Genomic DNA, 22,309 nt, shown 5'->3' on the forward strand with positions numbered 1-22,309 from the left:
GCAGCTTCGACCTCCTGGACACAAAAGCCTGGTTCTTAATAGCAAAGCAATTTTTAATTCACTCAAAACATCAGGCACAGCCAGGCACAGCCAGGCACAGTGGCCGATGCATGTAATCCCAGCACTTTGGGAAGCCGAGGTGCTTGAGCTCAGAAATTTGAGACCAGCCTGACCAACATGGCCAAACCCTGTCTCTACAACATACACAAAACTTAGCTAGGTGTTGGCCAGGCACGGTGGCTCACCCCTGTAATCCCAGCACTTTGGGAGGCCAAGGCGGGCAGATCACCTGAGGTCGGGAGTTCGAGACCAGCCTGGCCAACATGGAGAAATCCCATCTCTACTAAAAATACAAAATTAGCTGGGTGTGGTGGCGCATGCCTGTAATCCTAGCTACTCGGGAGGCTGAGGCAGGAGAATCGCTTGAAGCCAGGAGGCAGAAATTGCGGTGAGCCAAGATCATGCCATTGCACTCCAGCCTGGGCAACAAAAGCGAAACTCCATCTCAAAAAAAAAAAAAAAAAAGTAGCCGGATGTGGTGACACCTGTAATCCCAGCTACTTGGGAGGCTGAGGCAGGAAAATTGCTTGAACCTAGGAGGTGGAGGTTGCAGTGAGCCGAGATTGTGCCACTGTACTCCAGCCTGGGTGACAGAACGAGACTCTGTCTCAAAAACAAACAAACAAACAAACAACAGCAACAACAACTGAACACCCAGCAGGGAGCAGGAGACTCAATTGCAGATAACACCATTCTGGATATTTTGTCTAAAACAGATACAAAAATAAATTCATAGAGGAATGTCTTAAATTATATCTCAAGATAGGTAGGCCTAGAGCTTTTCAAACAAGCACTACATTTGGAAAACTCAGTAATAGAATAAAAGAATGTTCACTGTTTCCCCTGGTGTCCCAGCTAGAAGCAGCTCACTTGTTTCTAAACAGAGAGGACATCCTTCCCACTCCTCCAAAAAATCATAGCTTTTATTCTGGTGTATGTCTTGCATAAATTTGGCACAAACCCCAGTTCTGTCTTTTATTAGCTGTGTGGCTCTGGGCAAGTTAAGTAACCTCTCTGGTCATAGTTTAGCTTCTCCTTGCCCCTGACCTACAATATTCTCAGGATTTTTCCACAGTGCAATAATAACGGTCCCCTCTCCCACCACCCTTCACTAACCCATCTTCCTTTTTCAACTATCCCACTCCCGATTTCCAACCATCCAACATGTCCCATGGAAGGACTCATGCTGGGGGCTCCAAGGGAGTCCTCACAGACAATTCCAAGGATTCTATTTAGGTCTATTTAAGGACTCACTCACTCTGGGTGGCTTCCCCAGAGCGTTGGGCTCAGATAAGAAGATCCTCCTTTCTCCCCTCCCTTCTATCTTTTGTGATACAACCCTCAAGCCACCCACTTAACTTCTTCCCACCTCCATCGCATGTTCCCTAGTTCTTCCCAGGGAAATGTGAAAAGAAGTCCATGAAACAACAAACAAGTAATGTGTGAATGTGGAATTGCCTCCTTGAGCATGAAAACATGATAAAACTACCATGATCAGAACAGTCACTACCATGATCAGAACAGTCACCGCTCTGTGGCATGGAGAGGCAGATCTATGGACACACCAGAAACAGACCCCAAAGCAATGGCAAAGAGGTAGATTTCTATAATCAACAGCTGTCTGAGGCCCCCAGTTAGCTATTTGGGAGAGAAACGAAACGCCCGTTGAGTCACACACACAAACAGATCTCAAGTAGTGAGGATGAATTTTTTTAGATAATAATAATTAAAATATAGGCTGGGCGCGGTGGCTCACGCCTGTAATCCCAACACTTTGGGAGGCCGAGGTGGGTGGATCACCTGAGAGTTCGAGACCAGCCTGGTCAACGTAGTGAAATCTCGTCTCTACTAACAATACAAAAATTAGCTGGGCTTGGTGGTGGGTGCCTGTAATCCCAGCTACTTGGGAGGCTGGGGCAGGAGAACCGCTTGAACCCGGGAGGCAGAGGTTGCAGTGAGCCGAGATTGCACCATCGCACTCCAGTCTTAACAACAAGAGTGAAACTCCATCTCAAAAAAAAAAAAAAAATTAAAATATAAAATGTAGAGAAAAAAAACCTTTCATGGGTAGAAGAAGACTTTCTAAGTGTAAAGTACAGAAGTGGCACACTGAAATCCAGCTCTGAACTCCATAAACATTTTAAGCTTCTCCAGCAAAACACTTCCCAGAGCATTTAAACCACTGAACAACAAAAACAACAAAATGCAATTGGCAAAGGGTTAGTAGCCTTCACTGATGAAAACCACATACAGATTAATTTTGCAAAAGCTACTGAGGTACTAAAAGACAAATGGGCAAAGGATATGAACAGGAAGAGAAAACTCAAATGATAAATAAACATGTTTTAAAAGGTTCAACCCCGATAGCAATCAAAGAAATGCAAATAGAAACAATGACAACACGTCAGCTCCTCCCTCCCGCAGTAAATTATGAAAGATTTTTCAAATAACACTCAAAGCTGGCCAAGGTGTTCCCTCTCCTCCAAAGCTAGGAGGAGTGGCCGTTGGCACAACATTTCCGGAACACCATTTGTCAATCTGCACCAAGAGCCTCTGACCCAGAAATTGCACTTCTGGAAAGCAAGCCTAAAGAAACAACTGCTAGATAAAGCTTTGACTCTAAAATGTTCATCACTCTCTTTGTGAAAACTAGAAATTATCTTTTTTTTTTTTTTTTTTTGAGAAGGAGTTTCCCTCTGGTTGCCCAGGGTGGAGTGCAATGGCACAATCTCGGCTCACTGCAACCTCCGCCTCCCGGGTTCAAGTGATTCTCCTGCCTCAGCCTCCCAAGTAGCTGGGACTACAGGCGTGCACCGCCACGCCCGGCTAATTTTGTATTTTTAGTAGAGATGGGGTTTCACCGTGTTGGTCAGGTTGGTCTCGAACTCCTGACCTCAAGTGGTCCACCCGCCTCAGCCTCCCCAAGTGCTGGGATTACAGGCCTGAGCCACCGTGCCCGGCCTGGAAATCATCTTAATGCCCAATAACAGGAATGGTTAAGGAAACCTTCAGTAGACACGACAGATTCCTGAAGATCACTAGAAGGAACAACCCCCAATAAACTACTCTCGGCGACATGCGTTGTGGAATAAGATGAATGTTTTGCTTTTTTTTCGTTTACAAGTGTCTTTTTCCAAATGTCTATTATAAGCAATATCACTTCTATAATCAGATAAGAACTAAACTATTTTTTTAAAAAAACCGAATCTACAGTTTTCCACTCCTTTTCCTCTCCCAAGCAAGAAGAACATTCACTGACTAGCACAGGCGGTGGCAAACTGCTGCCCTCGAGCAAAATCCGGCCCACGACTTGTTTTTGTAAATAAAGTTTTATTGAAACACAGCCACAGTCATACATTTATGCATGCCTGTGGCTGCTTGTCCAATACAGTGGCAGAATTGAGTCGTTGCATCAGAGACCATATGGCCTGCAAAATCTGAAGTATCTACTATCTGAGTCTTTACAGAAAATGTCTGCCACTCCCTGGGCTAGTGAATGCCACCACCCACTATTCCCCGGCCCCTACCTAATGACCATTTAACATTTTTAAGCCATAAAACATTTTAAGCTTTCTAGAACAAGGCACGAGACACTGCTTAGAACCCTGTATCCCCGGCGTACCTTTCTGGCAGTGACTATGAGTCCAACATCGTTCGACAAACTGCCCGTTGATGACGGTGGCGGGGCAGTTGGTCTTGCCCTTCGCGGTACCCGGACAGATGTCTCCACACTCCTCGTTGTCATCTTTGTTCAACACGATGTAATTATCCTCCACGGAATCCAGGATACGGGACCAGTCGATAGTGGCCAAGTAACAGAGCTCATTGTTCTTCTCGATGCGGACAGAACCCCGGGTGATGTTCATCAGGTTGTAGAGGCCGAGTTCCTTGAGGTGAACCATCTCGAAGATGACCAGCGCGTAGTTAAAGAACAGTCGTGATCCCCGGATGACCGTGAGGTTGGGGAACAGGTCCTTCAGGCTCTCGAGCCCATAGACCCGGAAGAGCAGCAAGTAATCAGTGATCATGATGAGTTTGGGGAAACTGAGGTCTCGGAAATCTTCGGGCCTCGTTTTGAACATCAAGAGTATCTGCAAGTGTCCTTCGATGACAGAGCAATTCTCCAGCTCATGCAACCTAGTGAGGTTGTTCCGGATATCCATGCCGGGACACACTACAAGAGAAAATGAACAGAAAGCAAGACAGGTGAGCAGACGCACGGTGGATGCATCAGAAGGATCAGGGGCAGAGCCGGCTTCATGGACAGGAAACCTGGGCCCTGTGTTTTCATCCCGGGCCCTGTAAACTCTGCAGCCAGCCGGGATGAGTAGCTTTCTCTGTAAAGTACCCATGCCTAAGTAATTACTTTCAAAACGCCAAGAAAATAATTCTTTTGGCAAGCCCTGTTAAAATCCTTAAAATCACCACCTCTGAAATGATGCAGTCGGGACAATGGGATTACAGGGGATTGAGTAACGCGGCAGGTGCAGAAGGAGAAAGGGGAACTGTCTCCAGTGCGTCAACATAGAAGATCTTCAGGAGATAATTTACGGGGATAAAGGTGCCCGCGGTCAGAAATGGGGCAAGGAAAGCTAAATGTATTTGTTTTGTCAATCCTCCCACCTCGCTGGCTGACTTTCCTTCCCGGACTGCTCTCCTGACCTGCAATCAAGACCTAATTACCTTTTACCTGGGTGTGGTGAGGGCTTCCCAGGGAGCCCGATCTCCATTGCCCAAATGCCCTGAGTTCTCATTCTCCTGAAGGCGGTCCCTCCCAGGCCCCAACGCCCACCATGGCTCCCCATCATCCTGCACTTCCCTCAAGATTCTGCCCCTACATCCCCTGCACACCACTAAACAGGCCTGCCCACAACTCTTGCACAACTCCAAGACTCCTATCCTCCTCTGTAACATGGCTTATATGGAAGAAGAAGTGAAACAACTCAGGGCAAGCACTCAAACAGTGCCTGAGACATAGTAAGTGCTGCACTAATGTCAGCTATTTTGTTGTTTGTTGTTGTTGTTCTTCTTGCTGTTGTTTATTCCCCCAAACATATAACAGTCATCTCTAGGCTAGTCTATCTTTTGGCTGGCGAAGTGCTTTGTACCTTAGCTCCCTATTTCTAAATCCAGCCCATCATGCTTCAAGATATCCAGTTCAAATGCTGCCTCCTCCTCCAGGCAGCCGTCCCTGATTTCCTTTCCTTGGCACACCTATTTGCGTGTTTCTCCTCCTTGTGTCCCTTACACCTGAGTTAACGTTTTTCAAAATTGAAGTCTTTAGATGGCTTCTCTCTGCCAACACACCCACACACCCACACACACACACACACACACACCGCCTCCCCAACACACACACCACAGTCCTCAGCACCTAGAATATAAGGCTCAGTATACAACCCCTGCTTATTTTGTTCCAAAACACTAAACCTTCCACCAATATCTTTGAGGAAAACAGATTGTTCTAAAGAAGAATAGTAAATCCTCTAAAAAAAAAAAAAATCCACCCTGAGAATTACCCACAAAAGAAGCACAAATTAGAAAAAACAATAACAACGACAAAACACAGCAAAAGCAAACAAATGGGAAAAAAAAAGTAGCAGTGATCCTGGATCACATTCCATGCAGCAAATGGATTAGGCTAAGTCGAGAAAACACACACACACACACACACACACACACACACACACACACACACACACACTTGCTTGCTAGGAAGTTGGAGGAAAGCCCCAGTACACAACTATGGATTAATCTCCACCCTCCCCTCAACACTGGCTGCCTGGGGTCTGAACCAAGCAGGAACCCTGCAGGGACCAAGCTCAGGCTGGGAGGCAGCTTCAAGAGGACAAGGATGCCAGTCCCAGCCCCCCCACCCCTCCTAGTCAGGGACCCAACCCCAGTCTGAGGCTCCCAGTCAGTCACATCAACAGCTTCCACATCCAGAGATGTCAAAGAACCCCGCGTGCCATTGGTGCCTCCCAGCAAGTTCTGTCCCCATCCCATAGATGAGAAAACTGAAGCTCCAAGAGGCAAAGACCATCACTCAAGGACACACAACTCACCAGTGACTGGCAGGGTTGCCAGACTTAGCAAAGAAAAATGCAGAATGCCTAGTTGAATTTGAATTTCAGATAAGCAATAATACCTTTTTGAGGATAAGTATATCCCATGTAATGTTTGGGACATAACTTACCCTAAAAAAAATTACTCATTGTTTCTATGAAATTCTTGTGGGGTTTTTGTTGTTGTTGTTTTGATGTGGAGTCTCGTTCTGTTGCCCAGGCTGAAGTGCAGTGCCGTGATCTTGGCTCACTGCAACCTCCACCTCCTGGGTTCAAGTGATTTTCCTGCTTCAGCCTCCCAAGAAGTGTCCAACACCACGCCCAGCTAATTTTTGTATTTTTAGTAGAGACGGGATTTCACCATGTTGACCAGGATGATCCTGATCTCCTGACCTCGTGATCCACCCGCCTCAGCCTCCCAAATTGCTGGGATTACGGGCATAAACCACCATGCCTGGCTGGCATCCTAATCTTAGATTTGGCCATAGCCCTGGGCTTCTCAACCCTGAGTCCCACACTATATTTCATTTCTCTCTCTCTCTCTCTCTCTCTCACACACACACACACACACACACACACACACACACACACACTGCAGGTAGAAAGAACACTTGGCCGCCATCCTCCCCAGGCTATGGCAGAACCAAAATCAGACATGAATATGCATTCAAAGGTTAACTAGGGCTGGGCACAGTGGCTCATGCCTGTAATCCCAGCAGTTTGGGAGGCCACAGTGAGAGGATCGATTGAAGCCAGGAGTTTAAAGTCAGCCTGGGCAACATAGCAAGACCCCAACTCTAAAAAATAATAATAATAATTAAATATCCAGGCATGGTGGCATGTGGTTGTAATTCCAGCTACTTGGGAGGCTGAGACAGGAGGATCACTTGGGTCCAGGAATAGGAGGTTACAGTGAGCTGTGATCACACCACTGCACTCCAGCTTGGGCAACAGAGTGAGACCTCGTCTCGATTAAAAAAACACAACGGCTGGGCGTGGTGGCCAGCTCATGGCTGTAATCCCAGCACTTTGGGAGGCCAAGATGGGCTGATCACGAGGTCAGGAGATCAAAACCATCCTGGTTAACACGGTGAAACTCCGTCTCTACTAAAAAATACAAAAAAATTAGCCAGGCGTGGTGGCGGGCACCCGTAGTGGCAACTATTTGGGAGGCCGAGGCAGGAGAATGGCATGAACCCGGGAGGCGGAGCTTGCAGTGAGCCGAGATCACACCACTGCACTCCAGCCTGGGCGATGGAGCAAGACTCTGTCTCAAAAAAAAAACAGAAAAAAAGGAAAGATTAACTGGCTGTTGGACATTAGAGAAATACAAATTCAAACCACAGTGAGATACCACTTTATCCCCACTAGGATAGCTAAAACCAAAAAGAGTGACAATTACAAGTGCAAAGAATGTAAAGAAATGGGCCGGGCACCGTGGCTCACACTTGTAATCCCAGTTCTTTGGGAAGCCAAGATAGGCAGATCACCTGAGGTCAGGAGTTCAAGACCAGCCTGGCCAACACGGAGAAACCCCGTCTCTACTAAAAATACAAAAAACAACTAGCTGGGCGTGGTGGCAGGCGCATGTAGTTCCAGACACTTGGGAGTCTGAGGCAGGAGAATCACTTGAACCTGGGAGGTGGAGGTTGCAGTGAGCCAAGATCACTGCACTCCAGCCTGGGCGACAGAGCGAGACTCCATCTCAAAGAAAAAATAAAATGTAGAGAAACTGGTATCCTTTTGCATTCCTGATGGGGATGTAAAACAGTGCAGCCACTGTGGAAAACACTCTGGTAGTTCCTCAAAATATTAAACCAAGAATTGCCATATGACCTGGCAATTCCACTCCTAGGTAACTACCTAAGAGAAATGATACTATACGTCCACACAAAGACGTGTACACAAATGTCTATAGCAGCATTATTCATAATAGCTGAGGCTGAGTGCAGTGGCTCACGCCTGTAATCCCAGCACTTTGGGAGGTAGAGACGGAAGGATTGCTTAAACCCAAGAGTTCAAGACCAACCTGGGCAACATAGCGAGTCTCCATCTCTATAAAAATTTAAAACATTAGCTAGGAATGCTGGTGTGTGTCTCTGGTCCCAGCTACACGGGAGACTGAGGCAGGAGGATCGCTTGAGCCTAGGAGGTCAGGACTGCAGTGATCTGTGTTTGTACCCCTGCACTCCAGCCTGGGCAACAGAGCAATATCTTGTCTCAAAAGTAAATACAGGCTGGCCGCAGTGGCTCACGCCTGTAATCCCAGCACTGCGGGAGGCCGAGGTGGGCGGATCACGAGGTCAGGAGATTGAGACCATCCTGGCCAACATGGTGAAACCCCATCTCTACTAAACATACAAAAAAAATTAGCTGGGCATGGTGGCGAGTGCCTGTAGTCCCAGCTACTTGGGAAGCTAAGGCAGAAGAGTCACTTGAACCAGAGAGTTGGAGGTTTCAGTGAGCCAAGATTGCACCACTGCACTCCAGCCTGATGAAAGAGTGAGACTCCGTCTCTAAATAAATAAATAAATAAATGTAAATAAAAGGCCAGCCACAGTGGCTCACTCCTTTAATCCCAGCGCTTTGGGAGGCTGAGGCAGGTGGATCACCTGAGGTCGGGAGTTGGAGACCAGCTTGGCCAACGTGGTGAAAACCTGTCTCTACTAAAAATACAAAAATTAGCTGGGCGGGGTGGCGCATGCCTGTAATCCCAGCTGCTACGGAGGCTGAGGCAGGAGAATGGCTTGAACCTAGGAGGCGGACGTTGCAGTGAGCTGAGATCGTGCCTTTGCACTCCAGCCTGGGTGACAGAGCAAAACTCCATCTCAAAAAACAAAAAACAAAACCAAAAAAACCCCACGAAACAAAAACAAAAACAAACAAACAAACAAAAACAAAACAAAATTATGCCTCCAGTATAGCTGGAACCACAGACATGCACCACCATGCCCAGCTAATTTAAATTTGTTTTGTAGAGATAGTGGTCTCTCTATGTTGCCCAGGATGCTCTCAAACTCCTGAACTCAAGCAATCCTCCAGTCTTGGCCTCCCAAAGTGCTGGGATTACAGGTATGAACCTTCTCCATAAAAGAAGTCAAACAGAGAAGGCCACATGTTGTCTGACTCCATTCATACAAAAAAATCCGAAAGAGGCAAATCCATAGAGACAGAAAATAGATTCGTGGCTGCCAAGAGCTAGGGAAATGGGGGATGGAAAGTAGTAGCTAGAGGGTACAGGGTTTCTTTGAAGATGATGCAAATATTCTAAAACTGACTGTGGTCACAGTTGCACAACTGTAAATGTCCTCAAAACCACCTAACTGCACACTTAAAATGGGTGAATTGTATGTCATGTGAATTCTGTCTCACTAAAGTTGTTATGAGTAAAGATTAAACAGCTATAATTGTAGGGAACAATCAAGAATTGCTTTTCTTTTTAAATATCCTATGAATCTAACTCTTAATTCATTAAAGCCGTATGTGTCCCTATTAGTGAAAGACAATAGAGCAGTTTACCACTGGGACAGAAAATACCCAGAGGATGTTAGAAATGAAGGCAGAAATAGACACGAGGACTTCTGCTGGCTTTTAACATCTCTGAGTGGGCGTGAAGGATGCTTCAAGTTCTTCATAATGGGTACCTGGTTAATGGCCACTCTTTGTACAGGTAGAAAAAGGCAATGAGGAAGAGGGTGCTAAGTGACAGCTAATATTTTCTTTTTTCTTTTTTTTTTTTTCTTTAATTGAGACTTGAGTCTTACTCTGTTGCCCAGGCTGGAGTGCAGTGGCATGATCTTGGCTTGCTGCAAACTCCACTTCTGGGGTTCAAGCAATTCTCCTGCCTCAGCCTCCCGAGTAGCTGGGATTACAGGCGTGTGCCACCACACCTGGCTAATTTTGTATTTTTAGTAGAGATGGGATTTCATCATGTTGGCCAGGCTGGTCTCGAACTCTGACCTCAGGTGATCCGCCCACCTCGGCCTCCCAAAGTGCTGGGATTACAGGCGTGAGCCACCGTGCCTGACCACCATCTCCGTACTAAAATATGCCGAATGGGCCAGGTACCATGGCTCACACCTGTAATCCCAGCTACTCAGGAGGCTGAGGCAGGAGAATCGCTTGAACCCAGGAGATGGAAGTTGCAGTGAACTGAGATCATCCCGTCGCACTCCAGCCTAAGTAACAAAGCAAGACTCCATCTCAAAATAAATAAATAAATAAATAATTCCCACATATAATCAATCCTAAAAAAAAAATGATTAATGAGATAGTCCACAGCAGTGGTCCCCAACCTTTTTGGCACCAGGGACCAATGGTAGAAGACAATTTTTCCACGAACACGGGATGGGTGGTGATGGTTTTAGAATGAAACTGTTCCACCTCAGATCCTCAGGCATCAGTTAGATTCTCATAAGGAGCAGGCAACCTAGATCCCTTGTATGCACAGTTCACGACAGGATTCGAGCTCCTATCAGAATCTAATGCTGCCATTGTTCTGACACGAGGCGGAGCTCAGGCGGCAATGCTCACCTGCCCTCTGCTCACCTCTACTGTGCAGCCCAGCTCCTAACAGGACATGGACTGCTACTGGTCTGTGGCCTAAGGGTTGGGGATCCCTGGTCTGCAGGATTTTTTTCCCATGACGCCTACGAGATGTGGTGTGTGCTTTACCCTGGCAGCCCATCTCGAAACGGAGGCTCATTTTTCTTTAAAAATAATTGATTTGTCGCCCAGGCGTGGTGGCTCACGCCTGTAATCCCAGCACTTTGGGAGGCCGAGTCGGGTGGATCACGAGGTCAGGAGATCAAGACCATCCTGGCTAACCATGTGAAACCCCGTCTCTACTAAAAATACAAAAAAAAAATAGCTGGGCATGGTGGCAGGTGCCTGTAGTCCCAGCTACACTCGGGAGGCTGAGGCAGGAGAATGGCGTGAACCCAGGAGGCGGAGCTTGCAGTGAGCCAAGATCAGGCCACTGCACTCCAGCCTGGGCAACAGAGTGAGACTGTGTCTCAAAAAAAAAAAAAAAAAATTGATTTGTCTATGTAGATTTTATAAAGAGTATCATCGAAAATGTAGGTTTGATGTAGAAGAGGCAAGCCCCAAAATTGAGCCTTACCCCGGGAGGGTTTTTGGCTTCACCCAGGAAAGAATTCGAGGGTGAGCTGGTGGTGTTAGACAGCACTTTTTTTTTTTTTGGTCAGAGAGGGAGTTTCACTCTGTTGCCCAGGCTGGAATGCAATGACATGATCTCGGCTCACTGCAACCTCTGCCGCCTGGGTTCAAGTGATTCTCCTGCCTCAGCCTCCCGAGTAGTTGGTATTACAGGCATGCACTACCACATCCAGATAATTTTGTATTTTTAGTAGAGACAAGGTTTCACCATGTTGGCCAGGCTGGTCTCGAACTCCTGACCTCAGGTGATCCACCTGCCTTGGCCTCCCAAAGTGCTGGGATTACAGGCGTGAGCCACTGCGCCCGGCCAGCCCTGTCCTTGTGGCTAGTCCTCCATTTGGTCCAGGGCTGGATCCCCGCCTCTGGAGACGAGTCCCGCCTACTACCTCAAGTTCACATAACCAAGTTGTTCCAAATATATGGGAGAGTTTTCCAGTAACAGAACTGAGTACTAATTTTTTTTACATTTCCATGAATTAAATAAAAGTTTACATTGACATTTCAATGAATTAAAGTGAAAATAAAATTCAGTTTCAGCCAGGTGCGGTGGCTCACGCCTGTAATCCCAGCACTTTGGGAGGCCAAGGCGGGTGGATGACCCAAGGTCAGGAGTTTGAGATCAGCCTGGATAACATGGTGAAACCCCGTCTCTACTAAAAATACAAAACTTAGCGGGGTCGGGGGAGTGGCGCATGCCTGTAATCCCAGCTACTAGGGAGGCTGAGGCAGGAGAATCGCTTGAACCTGGGAGGCAGAGGTTGCAGTGAGCCGAGATTGTGCCATTACACTCCAGCCTGGATGACAGAGCGAGACTCCATCTCAAAAAAAAAAAAAAAGAATTCAGTCTTACCAGCCACAACTTCCAGGGCTCAAGAGCCACCCGTGGATGGTGGCTGCCATATTGGACAGAGCAGATACAGAGTATTTCCATCAAAGCAGAGCTGTATTGGACCGTGCTGGTCCTGAATCTGAGAATTTTCCAGAAGGAGAGAAGGCGGACATGAGAGCCATCTTAGGAAGTGTTCCTTTCTTCCCTGATTTTCTCTCCATCATGAAAACAGCAGGGGAGATGGGTTGGGAGCAGGGCAGAGAAAGAACTTTCTAGAAGATTCTGAAATCCTTTACAATGCTAAGAGTTTTCTACTTCCTGTTTTCAATCATAAAGGTCCTTGTTCTTCAGTTACAGGATTTTTTTTTTGAGACAGAGTCTTGCTATGTTGCCCAGGCTGGAGTGCAGTGGTGCAATCATAGCTCACTGCAGCCTCAAATTCCTGGGCTCAAGTGATCCTCCTGCCTCAGCCTCCCAAGTAGCTGGGACTACAGCTGCGTACCACCATGCCTGGCTAATTTTTGTATTTTTTGTAGAGATGGGGTTTCACCATGTTGCCCAGGCTGGTCTCAATATCCTGGGCTCAAGCAGTCCTGCGTCGGCCTCCCAGTGTGCTGGGAGTATGGGTGTGAGCCATCAAGCCCGGCCAGTAACAGCATTCTTAAAATGCTCCCTGCTGACCTATTCTGGGGCCCACACGTCCCTTTCCACATTCTTTCCAGTCCTCAAACTGCTTCCTCTTAAATTCAGGAGGTCCTGCCTCAACAAGTCTTGGGTTCTGGTGTCAGGCCACCACCTATACCAGTTTTGGGGCACACTAGAAATCTAACGAATCTGGCTTCCCAACCCAGCTCTGTCACCTGTCAACTGTGTGATCCTGGACAACATCTTCAACCCCTCTGCACGCCTTAGTTTCCTTTTTATTTATTTATTCATTTATTTATTTTTATTTTTGAGACGGAGTCTCACTCTGTCTCCCAGGCTGGAGTGCAGTAGCGTGATCTCGAATCACTGCAACCTCCATCTCCCGGGTTCAAGCGATTCTCCTGCCTCAGCCTTTTGAGTAGCTGAGATTACAGGCGCCCGCCACCACGCACAGCTAATTTTTGTATTTTTAGTAGAGACAGGGTTTTGCCAAGTTGGCCAGGCTAGTCTCAAACTCGTGACCTCAGGTGATCCACCCGTCTAGACCTCCCAAAGTGCTGGGATTACAGGTGTGAGCCACCGTGCCTGGCCTCAGTTTCCTTTAAATGATGACAACAGCATAATGAAACCTACAAAGAAGAGATGAGAACTGGGGTCTCTGGCTGTGTATACCTGTTCTGTCTCCCATCTGAGCCAGATGGAATCCATTCCCAGATTTATTACCTCCAGAAATTAGAGCTTGGACACACTGGGGTGTCAGAGATCCTTAAGATTCTCCACCTGCCTGCAAGAATAGCTTTCAAATCTACCTCTGCGAGAAGGAATGGAGGCGTCTGGATCAAATGCAGGTTCTGGACCCGGCAAGTCAGCTACATGGAAATCATTCCTGTATTCACTCAGCAAACGTTTGCTGGGCATCTCGGTGGGCCAGACATTGTGCCAGGCCCAGGGGGACTCTCAAGACAAATAAGGTTGCACTCTTACAGCAAGTAAAGGAAAGACGCACCTAAATAACTGTGATAAGCTACCACCAGAGCTAAAGGACAAAGTACTAAAACAAAGAACTGCAGAGATGTTGGCCGGGTGCAGTGGTCATGCCTGTAATCCCAACATATTGGGAGGCATAGGCGGGTGGACTGCTTGAGTCCGGGAGTTCAAGACCAGCCTGGGCAACTGGCAAAACCCTACCTCTACTAAAAATACAAAACATAGCCAGGCGTGGTGAGGCGCGTCTGTGCTCCCGGCTACTCAGGAGGCTTAGGCAGGAGAATTGCTTGAGCCCAAGAGGTTGAGGCTGCAGTGAGCTATGACTGCACCACTGCACTCCAGCCTGGGTGACAGAGTGAGACACTATTTCTAAAAAAAACCAAGGCCGGACACGGTGGCTCACGCCTGTAATCCCAGCACTTCAGGAGGCCCAGGCGGGCAGATCACTTGAGGTCAGGAGTTCGAGACCAGCCAGGCCAACATGGTGAAACCCCGTCTCTACTAAAAATACAAAAAAATTAGCCGGGCACGGTAGCGCTCGCCTGTAATCCCAGCTACTCAGGAGGCTGAGGCAGGAGAAACACTTGAACCTGGGAGGCAGAGGTTGCATTGAGCCAAGACTGTGCCACTACACTCCAGCCTGGGTGACAGAGTGAGACTCGGTCTCAAAAAAATTAAAAAATAAATTAAAAAATAAAAAATAAAACAACAACAAAAAGAAATGAGAACAGAAGAATGCAGATGGAAACAGTGAACCAGTGAAGACAAAGGATGAAGGAAGAAAACAAGTGTAATCTGTAGGACAGAACTGAAAGAGGACTGTGATGAAACCCTCATCATCCAGATCATAGTCCTTCCAGAAACTTATCATGTCATTAGTCTCAGAAGATGTACCGAGGACATCTTTGGAACAAACCAAGAAGCCAGCAAGGAGGAAGTCAGTGAAAGCCCTGGGACCTAAAAGCAAAGATGCCCCCTCAGGATTCTTCCTCCTTGGGAGAGAAAGGCAGATACCCAACTCTGGACATTCATAAGGCAGCAATTTCAAAAGGCCGGAGAAGACCAACAATTTCCAGGGATCATGGACCCACCAGGGAGGATGAGCTTGAGAAAACAGGATACCACAGGGTAACCAAAAGAGAGCCACACAGGCTGGGCACAGTGGCTCACGCCTGTAATCCCAGCACTTTGGGAGGTCAAGGGGGGTGGATCACCTGAGGTCAGGAGTTTGAGACCAGCCTGGCCAACATGGTGAAACCCCATGTCTACTAAAAATATGAAAATTAGCCTGGTGTGGTGGCGTGTGCCTGTAATCCCAGCACTTTGGGAGGCTGAGGTGGGAGGATCACCTGAGGTCAGGAGTTTGAGACCAGCCTGGCCAACAAAGTGAAACCCCATGTCTACTAAAAATACAAAAATGAGTCCGGTATGGTGGCGTATGCCTGTAATCGCAGCACTTTGGGAGCCTGAGGTGGGAGGATCACCTGAGGTCAGGAGTTCAAGACCAGCCTGGCCAACATGGGGAAACCTCATCTCTACTAAAAATACAAAAATTAGCCAGGGATGGTGGTGCACACCTGTAATCCCAGCTACTCAGGAAGCTGAAGCAGGACAATCTCTTAAACCCAGGAGGGAGAGGTTGAGTGAGCTGAGATCACGCCACTGCACTCTAGCCTGGGTGACAGAGTGACACTCCATCTCAAAAAAAGAAAAGAAATAAAATAAAATAAAATAAAATAAATATCCCTCTAGACAGGGCACAGTGGCTCACATCTATAATCCCAGCCCTTGGGGAGGCTGACGCAGGAGGATCACTTAAGTCCAGAAGTCTGAGACCAATCTGGGCAACACAGTAAGACCCCATGTCTATAAAAATAAAATTAAAAAATAAAAAAGAAAGAGAGAAACAGCCTTCTGGCAGCAGAATGAAGAAGGTACTGAAGACAGCATGCATAGCACCACAGAAACCAGGGGCAGTTTGTGTGAACAGGACTTCATACCCAGGAGAAATGGAAGAGAAGAGGGAGAAGAGAGTGAGGAGGGATCGTCAATGAGCCTGAAGCATTCGAGATAGGAACAGTTTAGAGTGGCAAGAACAACAGGCTGAGTTGGCAGCATATTGAGTCTGTGAGGGCTTTGGGATACTCAGGGATGTGGGTCCCGTGGGCATTGGGAAGATGGGGGAACAGGTACGGATGCTGGTGGACGCAGTGACAACAGGTGATATTGCAGGAAAGGTAGCACGGAGACAACTGAGAGAAGAAAATGATAGAAAGAGAGGCTCACGCCTGGAATCCCAGCACTTTGTGAGGCTGAGGTGGGTGGACTGCTTGAGCCCAGGAGTTTGAGATTGGCCTGGGTAACATAGCAAAACCCCATCTCTACCAAAAAAAAAAAAATTGGATGGGTGTGGTGGTGTGCACCTGTAGTCCCAGCTACTCGGGAGGTTGAGGATTGCTCGAGCCTGGGAGGTGGAGATTGCGGAGGCCTGACATCACACCACTACACTCCAGCCTAGGCGACAGTGCGAGGAGACCCTGTCTCAAAAACAAAACAAGGCCAGGCACGGTGGCTCACACCTGTAATCCCAGCACTTTGGGAGGCCGAGGCGGGCGGATCACGAGGTCAAGAGATTGAGACCATCCTGGCTAACAAGGTGAAACTCCGTCTCTACTAAAAATACAAAAATTAGCCGGGCGTGGTGGCAGGCGCCTGTAGTCCCAGCTACTCGGGAGGCTGAGGCAGGAGAATGGCGTGAACCCGGGAGGCGGAGCTTGCAGTGAGTCGAGACTGCGCCACTGCACTCCAGCCTGGGCAACAGAGCGAGACTCCGTCTCATAACAAAAAACAAAAAAACAAAACAAAACAAAGGCTGGGTGCGGTTGCTCACGCCTGTAATTCCAGCACTTTGGGAGGCCAAGGCAGGTGGATCACTTGAGGTCAGGAGTTCGAGCCCAGCCTGGCCAAAGTTTGAGACCCGTCTCTACCAAAAATATAAAAAATTAGCCAGGCCGGGCATGGTAGCTCACACCTGTAATCCCAGCACTTTGGGCAGCCGAGGCGGGTGGATCACCTGAGATCAGGAGTTCGAGACCAGCCTAACCAACATGGAGAAACCCCATCTCTACTAAGAATACAAAATTAGCTGGGCATGGTGGCGTATGCCTGTAGTCCCAGCTACTTGGGAGGCTGAGGCAGGAGAATCGCCTGAACCCGGGAGGCGGAGGTTGTGATGAGCCGATATCATGCCATTGCACTCCAGCCTGGGCAACAAGAGCGAAACTCCATCTCAAAAAAAAAAACAAAAAACCCAAAAATTAGTCAGGTATTGTGGTGCACACTTATAATCCCAGCTACTCAGGAGGCTGAGGCAGGAGAATCGCTTGAACCTGGAAGGCAGAGGTTGCAATCAGCCAAGATCGTGCCACTGCACTGCACTCCAGCCTGGGTGACAGAGCGAGACTCGATCTCCAAAAAAAAAGAAAAAAGAAAGAAAGAGGGGCTCCAGGGGGCACAGTATGAAAGGCCAGGGACTAGGAAGGGCACCTGTGTCCCACAGCCACCCGGACACCAACACCTTCTGTGAACTCTGGAATGTCTGACTCCTCTAGTCTATGACATAGTTTTGTAATCCTAACAATATCAAACATCAAACCACAGGATTAGAAGGGGGCTTCCGTGCTATTTCAGGAGTCCTGAAATTTATACAGACAAGAGCAGACAGGACACAGAAGACAGGAGGAAAAACAAGAGAAGTCCTGCCAGACCAGAAAGTCACTTTGTAACAGGTGGTATGGAGACCGTGTAACTGGGTATAATTAGGAGGGAACATATGAGGTCCTCCCTTTTCTGATCTTCTGCAAGGAAACAACAAGATACATCCTTGAGAGTAGAATGACAACAACAAACAAACACACACACACACACACAGACACATACACAGGCAGTCAGAAAACAGTTGTATCCCACCAGGCACAGTGGCTCACATCTGCAATCCCAGTGCTTTGGGAGGCTGAGGCGGGACGATCACTTAAGGTCTTGAGTTCGAGGCCAGCCTGGGCAACACAGCCAGACCCTGTCTCTGCAAAAAATAAAAATAAAAAAACTAGCCAGGCATGGTGGTGCATGCCTGTAGTCCCAGCTACTTGGGAGGAGGAAGCGCGAGAATCATTTGAGCCCAGGAGTTCAGGGCTGCAATGAGCCATAATCACACCACCGCACTCCAGCCGGGATGACAGAGCAAGACCCTGTCTCTAATGATAAGAATAAATGAGATTTTAAAATCAATTTAAAAAAGCAGTTGCATCCCTACTCTCGAGTCCCTTCCTGTCTGACTACTTTTGCCTGCATTGATAAAAAGGGTAATTTTTAGACAGTACCTATGGTTTCCACATTCCCACAAAGGCAAAGGAAATAAGAATCTCATGATAGCATCCTGCCTTTCCTGAACATACATCAGGGGCTTTTATATAAACCTGATGAGATATCCTACTTCTAAGGAACTGGAAGAAAATGCCAGATGTGAAATTAAACATTCATTCCCACAAGTCCGCTTTGAACTCCAACAGGAGCTTAGAGCCAGTCTGTACGTGGCACCGCAGGATAGCAAAGCTTGTTCTGCTGGAAACAAAATATGTTTCTAAAACCCCGCGAGCCGGCGGGGCACGGTGGCTCACACCAGTAATCCCAGCACTTTGGGAGGCCGAGGTGGGTGGATCATTTGAGGTCAGGGGTTCAAGACCAGCCTGGCCAACATGGTGAAACCCTGTCTCTACTAAAAATACAAAAATTAGCTGGGCGTGGTGGTGTACGCCTGTAATCCCAGCTACTCGGGAGGCTGAGGCAGGAGAATTGCTTGAACCCAGGAGGCAGAGGTTGCAGTGAGCCGAGATCGTGCCACTACACTCCAGCCTGGGCAACAGAGTGCGACTCCATCTCAAAATAATAGTAATAATAATAATAATCCTTCAAGCCAGCTGGACAAGGTGGCTCACACCAGTAATCCCAGCCCTTTGAGAGGCTGAGGCAGGTGGGTGGCTTGAGGTCAGGAGTTTGAGACCCACCTGGGCAACATGGGGAAACCCCATCTCTACTAAAATGCAAAAATTAGCTGGGCGTGGTGGCACATGCCTGTAGTCCCAGCTACTCAGGAGGCTGAGGCAGGAGAATTGCTTAAACCCTGGAGGCGGAGGTTGCAGTGAGCTGAGATCGTGACACTGCATTCCAGCCTGGGCAACGGAGTAAGACTGCTCAAAATAATAATAATAATAGGCAACATGGCCAGGCGCAGTGGCTCACGCCTGTAATCCCAGCACTTTGGGAGGCCGAGGTGGGGGATCACGAGGTCAGGAGATCGAGACCACGGTGAAACCCCGTCTCTACTAAAAATACAAAAAATTAGCCGGGGGCAGTGGCGGGCGCCTGTAGTCCCTGCTACTCAGGAGGCTGAGGCAGGAGAATGGCATGAACCCGGAAGGCGAAGCTTGCAGTAAGCTGAGATCACGCCACTGCACTCCAGCCTGGGCGACAGAGTGAGACTCCGCCTCAAAAAAAGTAATAATAATAATAATAATAATAGGCAACATGGTGAGACCCCATCTCTACTAAAATACAAAAATTAGCTAGTCGTGGTAGCACACGCCTGTAGTGCCAGCTACTCAGGAGGCTGAGGTGGGAGGACCACTTGAGCCCAGGAGGTCGAGGCTGCAGTGAGCTGTGATTGCGCCACTGCACTCCAGCCTGAGCAACAGTGCAAGACCCTTTCTCAAAAAAATGTAAATGAATAAATGAAATAAATAAAATCCCGAGAGCCACTGCTGCCTCTCCCTGCCACCAGTGTTGGCAGAGGGCAGGGATTCCCCTCCCTGAAACATGGGCCAGGGGTTTTTGGACATCTCATGAACTTTCCAAAAGGTATCAACCCAGCGGTTTCCACGCAGATGAAAATACAACAAAAAGGGCATTTGCATTCAAAGGATTCTAAACGGAAAATGACAAACCCACAGTTTTGTTTGGTTTGGTTTGGTTTTTTTAGATGGGGTCTTGCTCTGTTGCCCTGGCTGGAATGCAGTGGTGCAGTCTCGGCTCACTGCAACCTCTGCCTCCCGGGTTCCAGCAATTCTCCCGCCTCAGCCTCCTGAGTAGCTGGGACTACAGGCATGAGCCACCGTGCTCGGCTAATTTTTGTATTTTTAGTAGAGACGGGGTTTCACCATTTTGGCCAGGCTGGTCTCGAACTCACCACCTCAGGTGATCCACCTGCCTCGGCCTCCCAAAGTGCTGGGATTACGGGTATGAGCCACAGATTCACCAGTTTTAAACCACTTGCAGCCGATTCTTGTTATTGGTGGTAGTTTGGCTCTGTGAAATTCCCCTGAATGTTGAACTAGTGAATACTGAACCATTGTTCCTAGGAAAATGCGAGGGTAAGTACCTGCGAACTTCTGGCCACAACACATTTATCCATGGATCAATACCTAGCCTTGTTTTATGTGTGTTTCTGTTGAAAGACACTATTGAATCTATATTGTTGATTCATTAACACCGAACTCACGGCCAACAGTAATAGAACTCATGCCTGAACAAAGTTTATGTAACACATGCCTTTGTGTGTGTGTGTTGGTTTTGGAGTTTTTTTGTTTTTTTGGGTTTTTTTTGAGACAGGGTCTCACTCTGTTGCCCAGGCTGGAGTGCAGTGGCACCGCCTTGGCTCACTGCAACCTTCACCTCCTAGGCTCGAGCAATTCTTGTGCCTTAGCCTCCCAGGTAGCTGAGATTACAGGTGTGCGCCATCACGCCCAGCTAATTTTTGTATTTTTAGTAGAGATGGGGTTTCACCATGTTGCCCAGGCTGGTCTCAAACTCTGGCCTCAAGTGATCCACCTGCCTCAACCTCCCAAAGTGCTGGGATTGCAGATGTGAGCCACCGTGCCCCGCCACGCTGCCTTTTCTCCACAAGGGTGGTGACAGCCCTCCTTAGCCAAGGAAGAGTAGAGAGCAGGGCTTCAGCACCCTGGGGGGCATTTGAAACAGCCCCATCACCAACTGAAAGCACAAAAATGCTAAAAATGTGGCACCAAATAACCACAAAAAGGACTCAGGTTTTTTTGTTGTTGTTTTTTGTTTTGAGTCTCACCCTGTCACCCAGGCTGGAGTGCAGAGGCACAATCTCGGCTCACTGCAACCTCCACCTCCTGGGTCCAAGTGATTCTCCTGCCTCAGCCTCCGGAGTAGCTCGGACTACAGGCGCCCGCCACCACACCTGGCTAATTTTTTGTATTTTTAGTAGAGACAGGGTTTCACCATGTTAGCCAGGATGGTCTCGATCTCCTGACCTCGTGATCCACTCGCCTCGGACTCCCAAAGCGCTGGGCATGAGCCACTGCGCCTGCTCAAAAAGGACTAGTTTTAATCCTCAGTGTGCAGATTGTATGAATCTGACGCATAAGGGCTGAAGCAAGAAGGTGGAATGCCCTCTTACTTGACCTCACATTTGAGACTCGTACTTATGAGTGTCCTAAAATGACCAGAAAGGCACTGAGCATGCTGGTTTGAGGGTTACAAATACATTTGAGTGAGTAGGTGAATTCAAAAATACAGGGTCTGGGGCCAGGTGCAGTGGCTCATGCCTGTAATCCCAGTACTTTAGGAAGTCAAGATGGGAGGATCACTTGAGGCCAGGAGTTCGAGACCAGCCTGGGCAACATAGCGAGCCCTTATCCCTGCTGAAAAGTTAAAAATTAGGCCGGGCACAGTGGCTCGCGCCTGTAATCCCAGCACTTTGGGAGGCTGAAGTGGGCGGATCACTTGAAGCCAGGAGTTTGAGACCAGCCTGACCAACATGGTAAAACCCCATCTCTACTAAAAATAAAAAAAACTAGCCGGGCATGGTGGCGTGCCTGTAACCCCAGCTACTAGAAAGGCTGAGGCAGGAGAGTTGCTTGAGCCCAGGAAGCAGAGGTTGCAGTGAACCCAGATCACACCACTGCAGTCTGGCCTGGGCAACAGAGTTAGTGAGACTCCGTCTCAAAAATAAATAAATAAATAAATAACAATAAAAACTAGCTGAGCATGGTGGTGTGTGCCTGTAGTCCCAGCTACTCAGGAGGCTGAGGCAGGAGGATCGTTGATGCTCAAGAGTTGGAGGCTGCAGGGAATTAGGACCACACCACTGCACTCCAGCCTGGGTATCAGAGCAAGAACCTGCCTCTCAAAATAAAAATTTAAATTTTAAATTTTAAAAAGAAAATATGGGATCTGGGAATGATGAGGATCAACCAGACTCAAATTTAAAATTTCAACTTTAGGAATATTAATCCAATTATAAGATAAAATCTTTTAAAGTCTAGAGAAAACTATAGGGATGGAGAACAGATCTGTGGTTAGGGGTGGAGGTGGTTTAGTGATAAAGGGGTGAATTGAGGGAGTTTGGACAACAACGAGACTGTTCTCTATCCTAATTGTGGCAATAGCCATACAACTCTACACATGGCTTAAAAATCATAAAATGGTACACCTTTAAAAAGCCAATTTTACTGTATGATAA

The 22,309-nt window shown here is 47.8% G+C and overlaps 1 protein-coding gene across 4 annotated transcripts in view; it reads right to left on the reverse strand.

Moving 5' to 3' along the window:
- The window catches only part of INSR (insulin receptor), a 182,150-nt gene that overhangs the window by 151,398 nt on the left and 8,443 nt on the right, over positions 1-22,309 (reverse strand). For all 4 annotated transcript variants that reach the window (XM_011527989.4, NM_001079817.3, XM_011527988.3 and 1 more), the window contains exon 2: positions 3,683-4,234. In XM_011527989.4, the coding sequence (XP_011526291.2) occupies positions 3,683-4,234 (552 nt within the window). The remainder of the gene's footprint in view (positions 1-3,682; positions 4,235-22,309) is intronic.

This window comes from Homo sapiens, chromosome 19 (assembly GCF_000001405.40).
Source record: "Homo sapiens chromosome 19, GRCh38.p14 Primary Assembly".
Classification (NCBI taxonomy): domain Eukaryota; kingdom Metazoa; phylum Chordata; class Mammalia; order Primates; family Hominidae; genus Homo; species Homo sapiens.